This window comes from Homo sapiens, chromosome 4, assembly GCF_000001405.40.
Source record: "Homo sapiens chromosome 4, GRCh38.p14 Primary Assembly".
Taxonomy (NCBI): Eukaryota; Metazoa; Chordata; class Mammalia; order Primates; family Hominidae; genus Homo; species Homo sapiens.
This window is the reverse complement of record NC_000004.12, coordinates 16,220,670-16,240,887: the sequence shown is the minus strand read 5'-3', so window position 1 is coordinate 16,240,887 and position 20,218 is coordinate 16,220,670. Positions and strand designations below refer to the sequence as shown.

At 41.0% G+C, this 20,218-nt stretch overlaps 1 protein-coding gene and 1 long non-coding RNA gene across 8 annotated transcripts in view, besides 6 other annotated features; one reads left to right on the top strand and one right to left on the bottom strand.

Annotated features, from left to right (window-relative positions):
- Positions 1-14,225, bottom strand: part of TAPT1-AS1 (TAPT1 antisense RNA 1) — a 31,525-nt gene extending 17,300 nt beyond the window's left edge. For both annotated transcript variants that reach the window (NR_027696.1, NR_027697.1), the window contains exons 1-2: positions 13,711-14,225; positions 2,017-2,117 (exon numbers count right to left, since the gene is read on the bottom strand). This is a non-coding gene — a long non-coding RNA (TAPT1 antisense RNA 1). The remainder of the gene's footprint in view (positions 1-2,016; positions 2,118-13,710) is intronic.
- Positions 13,305-13,364: an enhancer, noted in NCBI's record as "active region_21347". NCBI's record gives its function as "activates an Ori minimal core promoter by ATAC-STARR-seq in GM12878 lymphoblastoid cells {active_cell/tissue: GM12878}" and the evidence as "EXISTENCE:reporter gene assay evidence [ECO:0000049][PMID:35858748]".
- Positions 13,498-20,218, top strand: part of TAPT1 (transmembrane anterior posterior transformation 1) — a 66,886-nt gene continuing 60,165 nt past the window's right edge. For 5 of the 6 annotated variants that reach the window (XM_011513816.4, XM_011513812.4, NM_153365.3 and 2 more), the window contains exon 1: positions 14,417-14,629. Coding sequence is in view for 4 of the 6 variants with exons in the window: in XM_011513812.4 (XP_011512114.1) it covers positions 14,431-14,629 (199 nt within the window). In the remaining 2 variants the exon portion in view is untranslated. Of the gene's footprint in view, positions 13,580-14,416; positions 14,630-20,218 lie in introns of those variants that run through there. The other variant, XM_047449754.1, reaches the window with a different exon arrangement.
- Positions 13,875-14,074: a silencer, noted in NCBI's record as "silent region_15308". NCBI's record gives its function as "represses an Ori minimal core promoter by ATAC-STARR-seq in GM12878 lymphoblastoid cells {active_cell/tissue: GM12878}" and the evidence as "EXISTENCE:reporter gene assay evidence [ECO:0000049][PMID:35858748]".
- Positions 14,135-14,204: a silencer, noted in NCBI's record as "silent region_15307". NCBI's record gives its function as "represses an Ori minimal core promoter by ATAC-STARR-seq in GM12878 lymphoblastoid cells {active_cell/tissue: GM12878}" and the evidence as "EXISTENCE:reporter gene assay evidence [ECO:0000049][PMID:35858748]".
- Positions 14,215-14,314: a silencer, noted in NCBI's record as "silent region_15306". NCBI's record gives its function as "represses an Ori minimal core promoter by ATAC-STARR-seq in GM12878 lymphoblastoid cells {active_cell/tissue: GM12878}" and the evidence as "EXISTENCE:reporter gene assay evidence [ECO:0000049][PMID:35858748]".
- Positions 14,325-14,374: a silencer, noted in NCBI's record as "silent region_15305". NCBI's record gives its function as "represses an Ori minimal core promoter by ATAC-STARR-seq in GM12878 lymphoblastoid cells {active_cell/tissue: GM12878}" and the evidence as "EXISTENCE:reporter gene assay evidence [ECO:0000049][PMID:35858748]".
- Positions 14,485-14,864: a silencer, noted in NCBI's record as "silent region_15304". NCBI's record gives its function as "represses an Ori minimal core promoter by ATAC-STARR-seq in GM12878 lymphoblastoid cells {active_cell/tissue: GM12878}" and the evidence as "EXISTENCE:reporter gene assay evidence [ECO:0000049][PMID:35858748]".

Genomic DNA, 20,218 nt, shown 5'->3' with positions numbered 1-20,218 from the left:
TTCCACAACATGTGGGAATTATGGGAGCTACAAGATGAGATTTGGGTGGGGACATGGAGCCAAACCACATCACCTGGGTATAACTATACAACGTTGCCTATAACTAAATAATGTTGACTTTGGAATTATGTGTTATATATATTCAAAAAGTGAAATTTTAAAAAGGAATAAACCCATCTCATGTAGACATTCAGAGGACATATTTTACAAAAGCAAATCTACAGGGAGAAGTCAAACCAAGGCCTAACCATGGTTTATGGACCTTAGTGCCCACTCAGTCCTCTAGATGGCCTGCTGAGGATGAGTGTAAAATGGGAATGGAGAACAGTAGCAGGGAAAAGACAAGGATTGGATAGAGAAGGGGAGACAATGTCAAGAAGAGTGTGGCCAAGAGAACATGACAATAGAACAGGAAGTGAGAAGCAGCACAGACAAGACACTGCTTCTCCAGACCACTGCCTCTGTCTGAAAAGCCTTCTCTCTCAATCTTGCCAGAGATCTTTGTCATTAGCTAATATTGGCTTTTTTAATAAGTTAAAAGTATATTTTTTCTAACAGTCCTAGTAATTTAGGGGATCTTTTGTTTGTGTGGCAGGGCACTATTTTAAGATACAAAGCTGTGCAATTTTGTCTCCACACGTGTTCATCCTTTCGCTCCATGCTCCTCTGTCTCCTGTCTAACCAAGTAGGCACCTGTGTTCACTACCTCAGGGAGCAGATGTGGAGGATACAAAATGAAAGCCCCTCTGTCTAACATTCACTGCTCCTCTCACTTCCTGCCCTAGGGAAGTGGGGGAGAAAGAAGAAGAAAGCAGCCACTGGGGTCCTGAGCACTATTCCTGCAGGGAGGGGAGACTTGTGCCAGGAATGGGCAAGTGGCTGCAACACTCGATGCAGAGGGCATCATAGGCAGCCTTGCACACATCTGTGATCCAAGCAAGGGAACTTGGAGGGAAACAGAGAAAGACCCACTGGATTTGAAAAAGCTATGCAGTCAGGAACCTGTGGAGTCCCACCCATTCCTTGCAAAGGACAAGATCAGGAACTGGTAGACACGAAGTCAGAGAGAGAAAGAGAGTGCTGGGGAACATTTTATTTTCCCAACAGCCTGCCATAATGCAGAGTTCAAAGTTAATATTAAAGTGGTTTACGGATAATTTTAATGTAGTATTTACTGCACATTTTATTTTTTAGGAAGACACTTATGTCCAATATCTCTGACTTGTTCTCAACGTAATTAGACATGCTTTGACCTCAAGGGGTATAGAGGCCTGGTGCAGGAAAGCAAGAACAGGGCATCTCCAGCTTTCCCCAGGCTTTCTCTCTCTCAGACCCGTGCTGTCCTCCACAGGACCCTACCCACATGGGGTGTCAGTGCTGGAACCCAGAGACAGCGGCACAGCCAAGGAATCAAGAAACAGCAAAACAAGCAAAGGCAGAGCCTTAGAGAACTTCTCAGAGAAAGATACAGATTATGACCTCTCAGTTCACCTTTATTTCATTCATATGCTCAGAACTAAGTTCCACAGAGATCAAACAAATATACTTGACTCAAGAACAGACACAAAATTGTCCTGCACTTTGTCCTGAAGGCAAAACCAACCAACCAATCAACAAACAAACAAAAAGTTCAGAACGGGGTCAGGGTGCAAGGGGATGCTAGGTAAAAATATAAAGGGATTTGAAGAGAATGCACTTTTTTCAATGTCCTGGAAATTTAGTAGCTGATCTTGGCTGCTACATAAGCAAATGAGTTTTCTTTAAGATAAATCGCAGTCCCGGAACCTATCCAACTCATAAAACAGACTTACCCTTGCGAGCTGTGTAGACTGGCAGGGGAAACAATTATGTGAGGAAAAGAAGAGTGTATTTCACATGTTCAACTGAACTCATGAGATTGTTTAGATTCTACCAAAAAAAAAATTAGGGTAATCTACCAGTTTCTCCTTACCTAGGCTAAACTGGTTCTTCACTTTGCCCATCTAGTACACAGTATCGCAACAAGGATTAACTTACCTGCAGGACCGGGAGCTCCCTAAGGGCTAGAGCCATGTTTCTTCATGGTTTAACCTCCATTTCTTATTGCAGTGCCTGGTGCTAGGAAGTGCCCAATAAACCTGCAGTGAAGACACCAGGGGTGGTTAGATGAGCCCTCCGTGGATGAAGATAAGGATGTGTGCATTGGCCACCGCCCCATTATTCATAAGGCAACCCAAGTTTTGCTGTAATTTGTTCAGTCTCAGGACAAATGGGAGGAACAGAGAATGGTCAGGGTCACAACACAGTGTTTTGTTTCATCTGACCTGTGAGTGGTAGATCTAGTAGATGAGGTAAGACCCAGCTCACAGCTGGAGAGCAAGAGTATCAAAGCTTATCTGATGTTGTGGCCAACACGTGGTAGCAAGACTTTCTCAAAAGCAGTAATATTCAAGCGTCATGGCAAGTGATAGTACTGTGGGGTTAAGGGCAGTAAGATCCCCTTGACTGAGATATGAAAGCAAGTGATAGCAGCTCTGGAGAAAGTTCTGGGCCCAGGAAGGAATTAGGGGTTTAATGGGGAACCCAAAGTAAAAGCCCAAATGGATGGGCCAGATTGAGGATGGTTCTGTCTTGGGCACGGCTGCAGAGGAATCATTAGATATGGAGATTTAGGCAGCAATGCTAAATTCTACCCCTGGAAAGGACTGGGATCTTAATTTTCTTCTTGGGGATCCTGTTCCAACTCTCCTGTACATTCATCCTCTCCTCTCTAACCCATCGGCACCTAACCATGCTTAAGTCTCTCCGTACTAAAAGGAAACAAACCAGCCAATCAATAAGCAAATTTTTCTTCTTGCAGCCCAGTGTTGTCCTTGTAATTGTCTCCACATCTTCGCTTCCTTCTTGCTCCTCTTCTGTATACCCAGCTGCATATCTTTCTCCGTTCATGAGGTTGCCTTCAGTGACGACAGGGTGATGTTATTGTTGCAAAATCCACACATTTCAGTATGCATCCTCTTTGCAGCATCCAACATTGTTGACCACTTCCTCTTTCTTGACTTGACTTCCACAAGAATGCCGTCTTGTGAGTTTCTCCCTACCTTCTACCGCTCCTTCCTGGATTCTTTCTCCTAGTTTTTTGGGGTGCTCTTCTCTTACGCTATACACCCTCTGGTGAGATGTCATCCACTCTCTTGCCCCCATACCCAGATGCAAATGCTTACAAATCTACATTTCATCCTAGACTTCTCTTCAAATCGCCATACCTATATACATGTACCTATGTTCTGGACTTCTATCCTTGGCTCTTCCATAGGCAGAAGAATGCCATTTAGATTCTGAGGCAGTTTTGGTTTTAAGGACCAAAATGAAACCGACAAGGGCCAAAATGATACACAGCAAAATTTGTTATAGATGAAAAGCTGACTTGAGAATCACAGATCATTGGTAATTTTTAAAGTTGAAAAAATTGTCTCATGAAACTATTTCGCTGGTTACAAAAAAAAAGGTAAAATACAACTGAAAATAGCAAAAACAGAAAATGGTAAAAAGTTATTATTGCTCACAAATTAATGAAAAATCAAAAAGAGTAGTTGTCCAAAATTTGACATGGTAAAAATAGTAGAGCTAAAACGACATTTATCATGGAAAAGTTGTATCTGTAAAAATTTGAAAAAGATGATGATAAAGAGGTTGATAAATCAAGTATTCATTGTAAAATGTACACAAGAAAGATTTTGTCCTGATGGAAACAGTGCTAGTAAAACAATACAGGAGGGAACAAATTGGAAAAGATTAAATTTGCAATATAGGAAATAGGTCAATAAATTAAACTAGCTTAACGAAGTTAACCCTGGAATAAATCTTTACCACAAAATTCATCAGTGTTGATATCATCTTGACGGCAATGTTTATATTCAAGAACAAAAAAAACAGCAGGGTCAAAACATACAAGAGCTCAAAATGATGTCAAAATGTCCTGCGCTCCCTCTGGGTACTTCAAATTCCACAATTTCCACACTGGACTCACTTTCCATTCCCTACCTATACCCTAAACTGCTTCTCTTGCATTTCCTATCTCTGAGAATAGCACCGTCATCCTCAAGTCAAAATTCTGTACATTTTCCCCGAAATCTCCTCTCTCTTCCTTACGCACTTTTCCCCCACCTGTACACCATATCACTTGCTGCCTTTTCTGGCACCTAATTATCTCTCAATGCATTCTCTCCACCCCATTTCCACTGTAACTCCTGCTGTTAAGGCCATTAACACTTCTGGGCTACAGTCTCTTCACTGGTCATAGTGATTCTCTTGACTCCCCCAAACTATTCCACATGCCAGCAAGGAAAGAGATCTTCCTGAAGTGCAAATCTAATCATCTACTCTTCACACATTCCCTCTGCCCTGTGCCTAGCTTGCAAGGCCCCTTGTAATATTTGTATTTGCAGCCTAACCCCACCATCACATCACAGCTACATTACACCTCCCTCTGTGCCTTAGACTTCCCATCCTCTCCCTGGCTTAAAGGCATTGCACACAGTTCTCCTTCTACCTCAGATCCTGCTGCTTTCAACCTAAACCTGATAACTCCTGTGCTAGTGAATCCTTACTCATCCTTTAAGAATTATGTTGCAACTGTCTATTTCCTAGTCTTTCTCTACTACCACATTATAAAGTTCTTAGGATAAAGTCATGACTTATTCACCTTTATATTCTTAATAGCAAGTACAGTTACACTTGCAATTACTGACATGTAATAGGACGTCTCCATATATTTGTTGAACTAATGAATGCAGCTTATTTAATCTTCACAACAATCCTGCATAGCAGGTATTACTATTGTTGTTTTAAAGAAGCTCAAAGAAGTAACTTGCCCCAGTCCCCACAGCAAGTAAGGAGCAGTTTGGATTTAACCTGCATCAGTTTATAAGGTGCATGTTATTTCTATTCTACCATGCCCTGTCTTTCAACTGGATGCAACCAAAATACAGATATGGGGACACAGTTCCTACAAATATGGGATCGAGAGCTGACAGGGGGAGTAATGCATTAAAAAACAGTTACAACGCAGTGTGGTGTGCAGTTGTAGATGCATGAACCATGGGTGTATACTGAAAAGAATGGCCATGGGGGAATGGGAGGTTAAAAGACTGTGAGGTGGAATATTAGAGCTGGGGCTTAAAAGAGGTGGAAGAGCTTGATTGGCAAAGTTGGGAAGAGAGTCCTGGGCAGATGTAGAAAATAAGTTGTTTTCTTATACATCAGTTACTGCATCAGAATAAGCTTAGGAAATTAATATTCCTTCTGAGTGTAGCATAGATGACAAAGCTGCTAATGCCAACATTTTGAAACTCTAAAGTGATTAAATGTATAAGAGTATAAATCATCAGCTAGGATGATTTCTCAGAAGCATTGAGCATTATACTGAAAGCATCTTTCTTGGATGCTGCCAGAGACCTCGGGCAGGCCATTATGAACGTATTTCTTCATGTCTTGTGCTCATCAATGTATTCTACTGGGTTCCAAGTGCTAATTAAAATTGCACACCGACTGCCAAAGAAAAAGCAAAAGCGCTTACATTAAAATAATGTGTCTAAATTAAATGGCTCAAAACAGAGAGTCTGATTCCAAATTGACATACAGTTCTTACCCTACTCCATAACTATGGGGGATTAGGCTGAGACTCAGACACAAAACTGAATACATAATGTCTTCTTCCTGATATTTATACTTAACTCACAATAATCTAGAACTTTAAAGTTTACAAAAGACTGCTTCCAAGCCATCAACATCCCATTTCATCCTTTCAAAAGATGGAAATAATTTGATTTGAGGTTTTGAGGCTAAATATGATATTTTATATGTGAAGAATACATTGCCTATCATTAAAATTCTGTGAGTTGCTGTCAAAAAATGTTAATCCTTAATGATTTATTGTCTTATAGCCAAACAAAACAAATTAAAAAAAAAAGTTTGTTCTACAAATGTTATGTTGAAACAACTTTTCAGAAAAAAAAAAGATGGTAAAATGTCTTAACTAGATACTGGACTTGGACATTGAGAATAAGACTTAATGCATAGTAAATGTTCAATAAACAGATTATTATTCCAACTGTTCTTGTGAAAATTTTGTAGAAATGCAAGCAGATCACAATATATACCAGATTAAAAATACAAACAAACAAAAAAAACGGAATTACTCTTCAACATGTGGAGATGGCCGAGCGGAAGTGTTGGCAACCTATTAATGCCCTAATTCCTCATTTCACTTCCAGGCCATTCTTCCCCACTCTCCTCAAGTCAAAATGCCCTATCCCACCCCCACTTATGGCCTACTATTTAGCCTTGGAAACAGAAACTCTATCTTGAAGTTCTACTCAAACACCACGCATCTTCCTACCTCTCTCATTCTGCCCGTGCCCCAGCACCCACCCGTCAGGCCCTTCAGTTGCCGTCCTCAGCCCAGTTTTCCATCTGGCAAACACATCTTTCCAGATCCATCCAAATGCCATTTCCTTCTAAGCTGACCTGGTCATCCCAAAGCAGAATTAATCTCTCCTCTGAACTACCATGGCACTTCATTCGGTCTTCCATTGTGGTACTTAGTGTATAGCAATGTAATTACTCGTGGGTGGGAAATTCATCTTATTTACCTTTGTTACTCTAAGGCTTTGTACCAGTACCGGACACATAAAATCTGGTCAACAAATGTATGCTGAATAAGAAATACTAAAGACTGCTGATTGAAGGTAAGCAATTTCAGATAAACATTATCATTTACAACAGGGTACCTGAGCTCACCAGAAGGAAAATATTACAAATGAATGTCAGCATTTAATGCTAGCCTTAAATAACCCAAGAGGCACCTAAAAAATCACATAACTCTACAGCTGAGACTTTGAGACAATCTAACCCACCTTCTGCTACATGAATTAGGTAATGATGGCCCAGAGCACATCCACGTTCCACAACTAGTAAGTGGCAAGCCTCCTGATTCCAAGTTGATAGCTTTCTCCATTACATTCTGCTACTCTCTATGTGATGAACTTTTATAGCCTACTGCCATCATTCAAGATTAGTTTTTATGGTCTAGTCCCAAACAAATATTTCACCCACTTTGGCACACAGGCAAAAGAACAGACTGTTTTGAGAAAACCATCCATTAGTTAAAAACAAATGCTCGCATGGGCGAATCCACCTGTGTGTTTATATATGTCCCTGAAGGATTAACGGTTGCTGCCTTTCTAAAAGATTTAGCTTAAAAAAACACACACTCAGAAGAAAAACCTTTGCTGATAAGCTATTTTTAAAAAATACTCCTAATTAAAGAAAATTATTTGCTTTCAAGGGAGAAGCCAGTTGTACTGTCCATAAAACACCAGTGAAGAAGGCTAATCCCACCAATGAGGCATCCTCTGTGCAACACTATTAAAATATCAGAGCGAAACAAACGACAGATTTGGAGTGGACATTGCATTGCCCAAAGTCAATGGAACCAACTGATTTTTGGACCTTTAATTACTTAATACAAGACTGATTTTTGTTGGATGCATTAATTACATTACATTAATTACATTAATTAATTACATTAATTTAATTTCATGTAATTTGATTTTATTTTTACTGTGTAAAACTGTGTGTTTATCCAGCTAGTAAAAATAAAATCAAATTACATGAAACTAAGTACTGTTCAGAAAAAGAATATCTAGCCAAACATGTCAGATAATAAATATCAGAACTATAATAAATATTAAAATTGAGTATTTAAAAATGGGTTGCAGCACTAGAAATGAATTATTTATATTAAGACAATTGTGTTATTACACTGCTAAGTAGATGGATGAAAGGTCAGAGTGTAATTTAAAAGATGATAATGACCAGCATGTGATTTAGTCTCAGTTTTCTTAGCAATTGAATATTTATGTGTAAATTATACACGCCAAATTTGTAACCCCAGTGTATATCTGTCAAGAGTGGGCATATGCTTAGGAGAACATGAATTAACGTTAGTACCAGCTTAGGCAATGTATAATTAGGAGGATAAAATTGTCACAAGAAAATAATGCTTGCTAAAGCCACAACATGTTTTCTTTTTATTGCTATTTCAAAAAATTAACCACATTCTTCTATTCTCCTCCATGAAACTGTATACCTAAGTTATAGTATTTATTAAGCATCCACATGGAAGACAAGCAGGTAACAGTGGTTCATTATTAGAAATTGATACTAAATTGGAAAATGTCAGAAACAAGAGAAGCATTTTACATATAAACATAGGCTTAGAACTGAAAAGAAAACGGAATAGAATAGATGCATATAAAAGAGCAATTTGAAAATCTAAGGCCTTGAAATCAGATAAACTAATTTCTAAAACCTGGAAAGCAGAAACCCTGAGATTTTTGAGAATCTGAAAATTTATCGTGCATTTCCAATAAATTTTGGTATGAACGCAAAAGAGAGAGATAAATACTTGGGTTTGCCTAAAAGATAACAAACAATAGATCCTTGTAAGAGACTGCTTTCGCTTTTTAATATCTCAGAAACAAGAGGAGAAAGAAAAGGAAAAACTGTCAGAATGGAAACACTGATTAATGAACAGGATGAAAGCTAATTACAAGAGCAGGATCACAGCCCAAAAGAGCTTAAAGGGCATCGATGTCAAGAGAAAAATTACTCAGTTACCTTAATCCATCATAGTTCAACTAGAAACACTAGAAAAAAGCAAAAAATTATCCTGAATATCATGTAAAATCTTCTGATTACCAACTACTATTTGATGAGTGGCCAAACGAAGCAATAAATAACTTGCCACTGGGGAATAACAAAAAGAAAAAAAAAAAAAAACTCTGAAAGGCAAAATTCAAAAGGACTAGCAACAGGAACTGGGTGATAAATAAAATCTCCCCTGCTTCCTGAATTCCAAAATGAAAGCCTTTGCTAGCTAGAATTATAAAAAAGGATTTTTGACAGTTATCAACACATTTACTAGAAGGTCTGAATTTATTCTGCAAAAGGATTCTTGTTAATTAACCGACTAAATGATTAATACGGTTTGAAACAACCTCTATTTATTTTCATCGTGATAATGAGAAACACTTCTTTTTTCTTAGAGATAAATCTGGAATGGAAAGTCTGCTGAGTCATTACCAGGGCCCCTTTCATCAGTATTTTGAAATTTTCCAGAAATTTAAAGTACAGCACAAAATAAATTTTATATCTGATCATGAATAAAAGGCCCTATAAGCCAATAAGCCATGAAATTATATAGGTTCATACACTTTTATTACATAAACAGAACCTACCTTTAGGTCTTCAGAACATAATATCCTTCATAAAACACCCCTTTTAGCAAAGTATTGTTTTCAAAAAGTCCTATTTACAATGGTTTCTGTCATATATTTGCACGTCAAAGAAATGCTTTTAAAAATGATGTTGCTCATGACAGTTTTAGTTAAGGTGTAACAGTTACATTGGAATCAAAGGCACATTACTTAATTTGTGTTACATCTTCCAGAAATAAAGCGAACTGGTGTCCTTTACAAATCCATGGAATAAAGCCCAAAGAGAATAAAACGTAATGAGCGTCAGTCCAAAAATGATTGCCAAAGATAGAAAATATTACTACTGAAACTCAGAAATTCAAACTCACATTAATTTAGTGCAAAGGCTTGATCTGGGTTCAGTGGTATATTTTATTTCTTTAGAACATCAGCTGCAAAGCTGTTTAGATCTTTCAACAACATCAACTCTTCTTTTTGACGACAAAATGGTGAATGAGTTAAATTCAGAACTACAGTTTGTGAAGAAACATGACATTTATGATTCATGAAATAGAAGTCATGTAATGCTAAAATAAAGTTTCAACTGAGAAATACAGATTTAATTAAAACTGTGCTCTATTCCGTGCTTGAATCCACACTATGAAAATCAACTGTACATTGATTACTGAGTAATCATCTCAAATATAACTTCAGGTGCTGTTTAATGTCACCTTACAGCAGAGTTCTTAGACTCAGGTGTGCATGGGTACAATACTGGAAATTTGTTCAAAATGTAGAAACCCTGAGGCCTGGTGTGAGAAACACAGCCTTAGAGTTCTGGAAGGTCACTGAGAAACCATCACTTCTCCTCATGCCAAGGAATGAAGGACTAATGCATAGAACATAAAGGTACATAAAAACTTACATGTCTTTGTTGTGTTATCAACACAAGTATTGCATTTGAACTCTATGCATTCAAATCTTAGACTCAATTACAAAGTGACTCTAAGCATTTCATATTTTTCTACAAATGTTGATAATGCAGGCCTGTCTACTATTTTTAACTCAGAAGGGAGGTGCATGGAGTTTAGCCCAGAATTTTGGAGCTACAAGGGAGGATCGGTCATTGAGTCCAATACTCTACAGGTCAGAAAATGAAGCAGAAAGGGGTCACCTGTGCTCCTTTGGTCAAAGACTTTAGTTGAAGGGTCAGAGAGAATCCAGGCCATCTCCTGACTCGGGATTCTTTCAAGTTAGCAAATATGTGATGTTTTTATTACTCAGGAAAAGTGTACAGAACTACTTTCAAAAGTACTTTAGGGACAATACACTAGAAGTGTTATCAAGAGATAAATTGCTTTGTAGTTAAAAAGTGAAAACTACAGCCTAAATGAAAGGAAGGGAGAATAAAAGGAAAATCGTTATTTTTTTCAGCTTTCATTATACAAAAGATGTTGCCCCAATTTACCAATGAAAAGACACTGAGGGCCACAGTGGCCCTCTGAGACCCTCTTTCCAGGGTCACATAGCTGAAATATGTGGCCAAAACAGTATCTTTCCCAAGGCTTGTAACTGTAGGCCCTTGTACTACACTGTGCTATACCTGGTAGAAAAGAATATAGATATACAAACTAAAAAACATCACTTATTTTAAAACTTGTTATTTCATGAAATGGCAGACCATAATGATTTGGTGTGGACATTAAACAAAAAGAGTTTATATGCCTCATTAAGATAATTTTCTGGAGCTCTGAATCCATGGTTTATACATAATGGGTTCAGTATATTTTGTTTAGCCACAAAATCACTATTGTTAAATCTTTAATTACTGAAATATGAAGTTACGCAATTTATTTTTGAAGTCTGCGTATGCTACTCACCAAATTTTTGTTGTTTAAAAAATATTGTTTTGCAATTTTCAAAATACATTAGCCTCATAGTGCATATAGCAATCTTAAGACTTTATCAACCTCTGATTTCTAAACACACATCCAATATTCATCACTTTCCTCTGCTGAAATTATTTCCCACTGGTGGAGTACTTTTTTTCTTTCTAGTGCGATGACATGCTACGGCACACCATCTTATTGTTTGTGAAATCAATACTTAAGTTGATTCAGGAAAAGTGTATGAAACGAATTTCAAACATCTTTTAGGGGCAATTCACTACAATTGCCCCTAAAACCAGTTATAAGATAAAACCAGGATTTGGATAACAATGATGGACAATATTGTCATTGTCATCCAAATCTTGGTTTTATCTTATAACTTAATTCAGAATGTTATTTGATGCCTATTTAATGGCTAGGGTTGCTATGTTTCTTAAATACTCATATTGTTTTTCTAACGGTAATACCATAAATCTAAGCCTGTATTTTTCTTTTTACAACTGATATAAAGTGCATTATGATATTTTAACTATTTATCTTCCTCTGAGAACTGCTGGTTCTTCTATGCTGCATAAATATCTCTTAAGGTAATTTGTAACCTAGTATTTTGAAGATTCCAAATACACATTTGAAAATACTATTTTCCTGGATTCTAACTAAGTTGCAATACGTTGAATTAACTCAAAGAAAACAACTCTCCATATGCAATAAGCTATTTGATTATATGATTATCAACACCTATACAAGGGAAGAATAGCGTTAACTGAAAAAATTATTTTTACTAATGGTTGTTTTTTAAATGCTTTTTTGTATGTTGACTTCAATATGGGTTTGTTTGAAATTGTGTAGTTTCACATGTCAGATATAATAAAGCAGCTTCAGTGAAAAGATTCAACCGACGAGAAGCTACAAGTTCCTCAACTTGCCCACATTCGCATTCCCACATTTCCAATTTGTTCCCCCGCTTCTTTAGGCAGTACCTAGCCTCGGCACGGCTGCTTCCTCTTCTTTTTTTTTTTTTTTTTGGCACGGCTGCTTCCTCTTCTTCTTTTCTTTTTTTTTTTTTTTTTTTTTTTTTTTTTTTTTTTTTTTTTTTTGGGACGGAGTCTCACTCTGTCGCCCGGGCTGGAGTCCAGCGACGCGATCTCGGTTCGGTTCACTGCAACCTCCGCCTCCCGGATTCAAGCCATTCTCCTGCCTCAGCCTCCCGAGTAGCTGGGAATACAGGCGCCCGCCATTACGCCCGGCTAATATTTGTATCTTTAGTAGACACGGGGTTTCACTATGTTGGCCAGGCTGGTCTGGAACTCCTGACCTCGTGATTCGCCCCCTTCGGCCTCCCAAACTGCTGGGATTACAGGCGTGAGCCACCGTGCCGGGCCCTCTCTCTTCTATTTAAAAGGATAGGCACAGCCTTTGGAACTGAATGTCTTTCCTCAGGCCTCATAATAGAAAATGAGGAAAGTCCATTCTGACAACTGGCTGCCTTAGGCAACAGAATTTGGGATTCCTACCCTTCCAGCTCCTGTTGAGTCAAAGGCAAAGGCAATAACCCAATAAATGTGGTGAGACAGTAAATGGAAACTGACATAAAAATAGCAATAAAAGCCTACTTCCTTCTTGACAATCAATACATAATGGAATGGGTATGATTTTACACCATAAAACATCAGAGAATAATAGAATATGGGCTGAAGAAAGCTCAGAAGCCACAACATTTTCCCCACCTTTTGATTTTCAAAACGATTCTTAAGATTTGTCGGGAGTATTTGTTTTCAATTGTTTCAGTGAGGCTCAGTTTTGACCACATGCAACCAAAATAGAGAATTTCATGGAGGATGGTCACAGGATTGGCTTAGAAAAATGTAATCCTGTGAGCTGTCCCCTTTCATAAATAATAAGGTTCCGACGGCTGCACCGAATGTTCCTCCTTTCAACGAGGTTGGGCCGAGGTTGGGCTCCCAGCTGCTGGGACATTTTTAGTCCATCTTGGACTCTCACCTCTGCCTCCTGCTCAGCTGTCAGAATGCCAGGCGGCTCTGCAGCCCAAAGCCCACTCCGTTTTAAACTTGCTCGTTTGCAATCACGTAACCCGCTACTGACGACAGAACCCTCAAGGCCCATTTATATGCGGTTCTCAAGTTTAGGTCTAGGGAAGTTTCCAGGAAGCTTAGTGTTCGGGGAGGAATTCGTTTTGCTTTTGCTAATCAAAGAGACACAAAAGCACAGCTGAGTCCCGAAGCTGGCACACGGGAAATCGAGGTACCACTGTCCCCTCACCGGAGCGCGCAACAATCACTTGGGGAGCGGGGAAAAGGTTTCCACCTTCCCCGAGCCTGGGGCACCTTCGCTCCCACCGCCCCAGCTGGTGGTGGTCTCGACACCACGCTCGTTGCGGGGTCACACGCCAGAGCTGGAAAGGGGAGGTCCAGCCCCAAGTAAAGCGACAAAGTAAGGACACAGTGGTGGCCAAGGGCTGTCTCCTAACCCCAGTCCCGAAAGACAGTGTGGAAAGTCCGCCGGCGCGCCAGCCCTTGAAACTCTGCCGGTCCGGCCGCGGCCCCTCCCCTGCGCGTCCCCACCTGTTGTGAAGCTGCCCAAGCTCCTTCTTGCCCAAATGCTTTGGAAACTGCCAAAGGACACTCAGAGGCCAGGGAATGTAACAGGCAAGCATAAATATGCAGAAGAGATGGAACCAAAATAGCGGGCAGGCAGGGCCGGCGCTCGTGGGGGTCGGTGATCTGGAGCCGGGCCCCCGCCGCCGCGGCCGCGCCAGCAGTGCCAAGACCTGGCGGGCGGCGCCGGCGCACTCCGGGCACCGAGTCTGCAAAAGAGGCCCTGAGCGGACCGCCGGACACCTCGCAGACTGCGGGCAGCGGTGGTGGCGGCCGCCTCTCCGGGGCTCCACGGCCGACCCGCCGCCCGCCGCCGCCATCCCCGGCCCGCTCCTGCCGGGTCCCCGACTCGAGCCCCGGAGGCGCCCGCTCTGCGGGACCGCGCAGCCCGGCTGCATGGAGCCCGGCGCGGTGCCCCGGCCGGCCGAGCCAGCCACGGCGCGAGAAACCGTCGCCCGCCACGGCGAGGGCAGGAAGAAGATGGCGGCTACCGTGGCGGCGGCGGCGGCGGCAGCGGCCTCACACGCGTCGCTGACGCCAATGGCTCGCGCCGGTCGGCGGGCCGCGGATGGCGGCGGCGGCGGCGGCGGCTCGGGCTCCGGCGAGGGGCGGGGCGAGGCGGGGAGGGGGCCGGCCGGAGGCAGAGGCTGGAGGGAGGCGGCGGGGACAGTTTGTTGTGCTCGGAACATGGCGGGCGTCGGCGACGCGGCCGCTCCGGGAGAAGGCGGCGGTGGCGGCGTGGACGGCCCGCAGCGGGACGGCCGCGGCGAGGCGGAGCAGCCGGGCGGCAGCGGCGGACAGGGGCCCCCGCCGGCGCCTCAGCTCACAGAGACGCTGGGCTTCTACGAGAGCGACCGGCGGCGGGAGAGGCGCCGGGGCCGCACAGGTGAGGCGGGCGGCGCTAGGCCGTGGCGGGCTCCGAGGGGCGGACTGGGGACCGAGGGCGGCGGGGGCGCCTTGGAACCCCGGCCCCCGAGCCGCGCGGCTGCCGTTGCCTCCCGGGGCTCCCCAGGCTGTGGGCGCGCGGAGCCGCCGAGGCTGCCGAGGCTCCGCGGCCGTTGACAGTTCCTCGGGCGGGTTGCGCGCGCAGCCCCGAGGCCCCCGCGGCCGCGCCAGGCCAGGTGTGCCCTAGAAGGGGTCTGCGGCCGGGAAAGTTCTGTCCGGGTCCTTGCATCGCCCTCGGAAGGTCTTAGGTTAGCGGGCATCTCCCACGTCTCGGAGCCCAAACGTGAGAAGCACACGGCTGATTTCTTAATTATATTCATGCCAAGGTGACTTTTTTTGTTCTGTATTTTAAGCAAACTTGAGCCATAGAAACCTGTTAACTTGCCCTGCAAGTAGATTTTTCACAGACAGCTGACGGTGTGGTAGTGACCATGAAGTTCAGTAGTTTTGCCCAGTACAGAAATATTTAACACTCCATAAAATGTTGCATCTGAACTTTTCCTGAACTGAAACTTATGCCAAAAAAATTACTAGATGAGAAAATGTGTACTTATGAATCCTACATTCAATGACCAGTTTTAAACGTATTGTTACAATGTTACAGTTTCTATAAGCTGTAGGTTTTTATTCTCATTTTAAAAGAATTTTTAAAACTTGCATTTGTATTCATATTGCAGTTACAGATTAGTTTTAAATGAAAAAAGGTTTTGAGATGGATGTCTTCTTGAATATAGAGTGAACCCAACGTTTTAATTCTCAAGCTGTAAACAGCAACTGAACCATAACTCCATTAAATTTCTTCCAACTAAAAAATTACTTCTGTTGTCCAAAAGGGGCTGTGTTAGCCGTTATTTCCTGAAGTTCATGCAAATAACTAAGTTGTGAGGCTGATTACATCATTGATTGTACTTGAGTACTGAAATTTTAAAACTACTTAAGGGGCATAAAGTTGATCAGATGCGATTCTAATTGATTTGCTGATTCCCAGAACTGGACGTAGGTTCTATTTGAAGCAGTCTATATTTTTGGAAAATTACAGACGGTCTTGTTTGGTCTTTTTCAATTAACCACTTAAAAATTCTCAACCATACTTTATTTGGTTTAGTTCTCAGTTAAACATTTGCTTTCAAGAGTATTTACTTTCTTCATTGGCAGGATCTCAGTAAGACAAAATAGCAAATCTCTCAACTGTCTGTTTACTTACTTAGACTTGAATATTAAAAGCACTCTGTTGTAAATAGAGATAGATGTAGCCAGGCTTCACTATACTTTCTTTAAAACATTTCTCAGTTGCAGGAAAGCCACCATTTTAAAAGCCTTTTTTTGTTGTTTGCGTGGAGAGGAAATGAAGTTGTTTGAAGCCTATTGATGAGCACAGATCTTGAGCTTGCAGTATCACTTAACACTTCTTCCCTGGCTTTTTCTGGGACTGGATACCTGGACTTCCATGGACTTCATTATACCACGTATCCATTCTTCACCAACATGGTTCACCATGTTTAAGGCTGGATTTTTTTTAACCCATAGTTGCAGGAAGTCATTATCAGGGAGATGCCTCCAGGTTTAGCTGTTGGGGTAGTCCTTGTTCTTTCCCCAGTTCCATTGATTTTGTGTGAGGAGATGTCAGTGGCCACTCCTGCTTTACCAAGTCACACTAGCCTTGGCGATCAGGATTTAGGTGAGAATTCCAAATTCCAGGAGTATTTCAGCTGGAGCCACTGGCCAGTGTTCTCTCTGAGCCTCCACATAAGCCCCTCCTTCTTTTCCCCTGGTGTCCCTGCTCTGCTAGTCACATAGCTCCTGCCACTGCTAGCACCCAGTCTGTAGCTCCGATAACCATATTTGTTAGAGGTTTCCCCACTAGAAACAATTATTTTAGTCCTTCTTCAATGCCCAGGCTGCTAAGTCTAGCGCTGCCCTCTTCCCCTGCTCTGTAATCCTTCCTTCCCCTCCTTTTAAGAATTTTTAAAAACGATTCCCTAGGAGCTGGCCTGGGTCAGAGGGCCTTTGAGTGGCAGCACCTGGAGTCATTTGGATAGCATTTCTCCCTGAATCAAACTAGTCCTCCACGGCTAGATGCTCGGACTTAAGGTATTACTTGTTGATTTTTTTATATTCTTGTGTGCCTCTGAGAGTCTAGCACCACTGCCCTTGAGATCTAGATCCCCCTGCAAGTTAAGGCAACCTTTGGCTTTTCTTTTTGAAAGTCATAATCTTAGTGTCTTGGTGGCTGAACCATCAGTCAGTTCCAAAGTTCCCTTTATCATTTCTCACAAGGAATTTAGGGCTCCTACAGGTAAGACATTTGTTGATCAGTCCCAACAGCCTAGAATTCCCTAAATGAATGTACATATTAGGTACTTATCCAAACTCTTTCCATCTGAATAAAATAAAACGTGGTGTCTGAGGTTCATTTTTTGTTTTATATCTCTCCTTGTTGATTTATATGTTTAGAAACTAGATATGTATATTTGTCTGTATGAATAGCTGTATATGCTCTATATTGTATTATACTAAACATGTGTCTCCATTAAGTCTAAGCTTTCTTTTCCTCATCACTTCGTTCTCAGAACTCCCGTTCTGACTTATATTTAGCCTGGCAATAGGCTGACGCATGTCTCAGATGCGAGTACTTACACCTTTTAACATAGTTAGAATTGGGAATCCCACTCATCATTCCTGTTTTTATTTGCTCTCTCAGAATGGTCATTGTGTATTTCCTTGTTGCATATGTGGTTACTGGCCTTGAACTCTGGATGTAGTGGTTATCAAGAACTGCAGATTGATCTCTTCTGTATTTTCTTCCTGTCCTTGAAAATACTACCAACTTCTGTTGTTCCTTTTGACATAAAACCAAATAATCAATGTTATGTTTTTGTGCTTGTTCCCCACTTGATTCATCTGCAGAAGTCCTAGGTAGGAGAGTTTCTGTATAGCCATATTTTTATTTAGGAATCTAAGTACAGCAAATCAACTTTGGACTAAGCATTAGGAAATCTGTGTTTTTGGCTTGGTTGGGTTGTTGAATTGCTTTGTAAACTCTGTGCTTGCTTAGACTGCTTGCCTAATCAGTTTGGTTCTGTTTCATAATGCCACTACTAGATAGTTCAGTATCTGAAGCATCTAGGTTGCTTCTAGTCACCATGGAGACTTAACAGAAGGCTTGGTGTAAATAAGGGTAGCACCTGTGAGGGTAGCACAGGTGAAACAGTACCTGTGTAATGCAGGTGTTGGAGATGCATGGGGATAGGTATTGCTTGTAAAACAAGAAAGCCTGAAGTCGGGTATAGGTGAACATATTGTTTCTACTGGTAACAGTGCCATGGACCCATTTCTTTCTTCTTTAACAGTGACTCTGGACTTCTAAAACTTCAACTTATTATCCATCTCTTTTGCCTCTCTCCTCTCCCTTTAACCATGGTTAGACCTCTTCTTGCTTCACCTCTGTTAGAGATTGAGCAGAGGCAGGAAGAATGAAACCCAGAAAAGTCAACTGAATTTTTAGCAATACCCTTAAAAGATTTCGAGTGGGACGAAGGTTTTAACTATTCATATTACCTATGTCTTATTCTTTGTGTAACTGAAAATTTGTCAGTTTCTTCTTACAAATACATTTTTATTAAAATATGTTTTCATTTAACCAGTCTTCACCTATATCACATAGTTATCCCAGTGGCCCCAAACTTAACCAAATGGATGATTAAAGGGTGACTGATTCTAAAATTATGATCTAGAGCCAATTAATTTGTTCACAAAGAAAAATAAAAATAATAAAACCGGGAAATTACTTGGAGTAACCACAAACCAGATACAAAGTAAAATTAGCTACTTCTGACAAACTATTGCTTTGCTTTTAAAATTCTCACTTGCTTTACTTAATTAGTATATATAGACCAAACGAACAATGAAAAGTTACTTATTTTGGTTTTTGATCAGTTCAGTGTCTTGGCTTTTGACAGTTTTTAACTTTAACTTAGTTTACGCTCTGAAATTCAATCCTAGCAGCTCATTTGTGCTCCAATTTGGGGACTACTTGCATAAAAGAAGTCTCTGGAAAGCCTATATAGCATTGACTGTCAAATTAATGATATTCTATTCTCATTTGTAATCCTTTGCTTTATAACCTTATGACCTTGGAAAAAGTCACTCCTTTGTTTATACCTGTTTTCCATCTATACATGTGTAAATATTCTACTCTTTACTCCTCTAAATGAGACTATAAACATTTTTTCAAACATCTTAAAAACTTGAATATACTGTGTGAAATGGTTCTTTACTTAATGTTTGACTTAGGAAGGCAGAATTGCTGTTGTATGATTGAGTCCCAGAAAAGCTGATTACTAATTGGCCTGGTACAAGAGTGTGTCTCTGTTCAATAAGCTTATTTAATATTTTAGTGTAACCTTAATAAAGTTTACTAAAGTTTTATGTTATTTAAGACTATGGAGATATGCATGTTTCATATTTTCCTAACAGTTAACCAGTATTACTTTCCAAATTTTTAAATGCTCAATGCTATTTTAAGAAAGATATATTTAGACATATTACTGAACATATAAATATATTTATGATTACTCATTACTTTTAATTAATACTTTTTAATCTTTGGTTCTTATTTCTAAAATAAGCTTTCTTAGAAGATAATTAAACATTGTGTTTTTTCTTTTAGGGGTGAAGAAAAAGCAATTTATACTATGCTTTTTCTGAATTTAAGTTCTGGATCACAGAGCAATTCTGTGGTAGGAGATGATATCATGTAAAAATATGCTGGAGGGGCTGGGCGCGGTGGCTCACTCCTGTAATCCCAGCACTTTGGGAGGCTGAGGCGGGTGGATTGCCTGAGCTCAGTAGTTCGAGACCAGTATGGGCAACACGGTGAAACCCTGTCTCTACTAAAATACAAAAAATTAGCTGGGCGTGGAGGTGTGCGCCTGTAATCCCAGCTACTTGGAGGCTGAGCCAGGGGAATTGCTGGAACCCAGGAGGTGGAGGTGGAGGTTGCAGTGAGACGAGATCGTGCCACTGCACTCACGCCTGGGCAACAGGTGACAGAGCAAGACTGTGTCTCCAAAAAAAAAGTATATATATATGTACGTATGTGCTGGAGGAATTGATTTGGATTTATGATTGGTATTATTTTCCTCATATTACATATTCACAGTTGACGGCTGGGCACGGTAGCTCACACCTATAATCGTAGCACTTGGAGAGGCCAAGGCGGGTGGATTGCTTGAGCCTAGGAGTTCAAGACCAGCCTAGGCAACATAGTGAAACCCTGTCTCTATAAAAAATACAGTGAGCCAAGATTGTGCCACTGGGCTGCAGCCTGGGCAACAGAGTGAGACCCTGTCTCAAAAAAAAAAGAAAATTCACAGTTGTCAAAACATAGTTCTTCTAATGTTAAGCACTTGTTTATGCTATAATAGTAAAATGTTTCTTTTTTTTTTTTTTTGAGATAGAGTCTCGCTCTGTCACCAGGCTGGAGTACAGTGGTGCGATCTTGGCTCACTGCAACCTCCGCCTCCTGGGT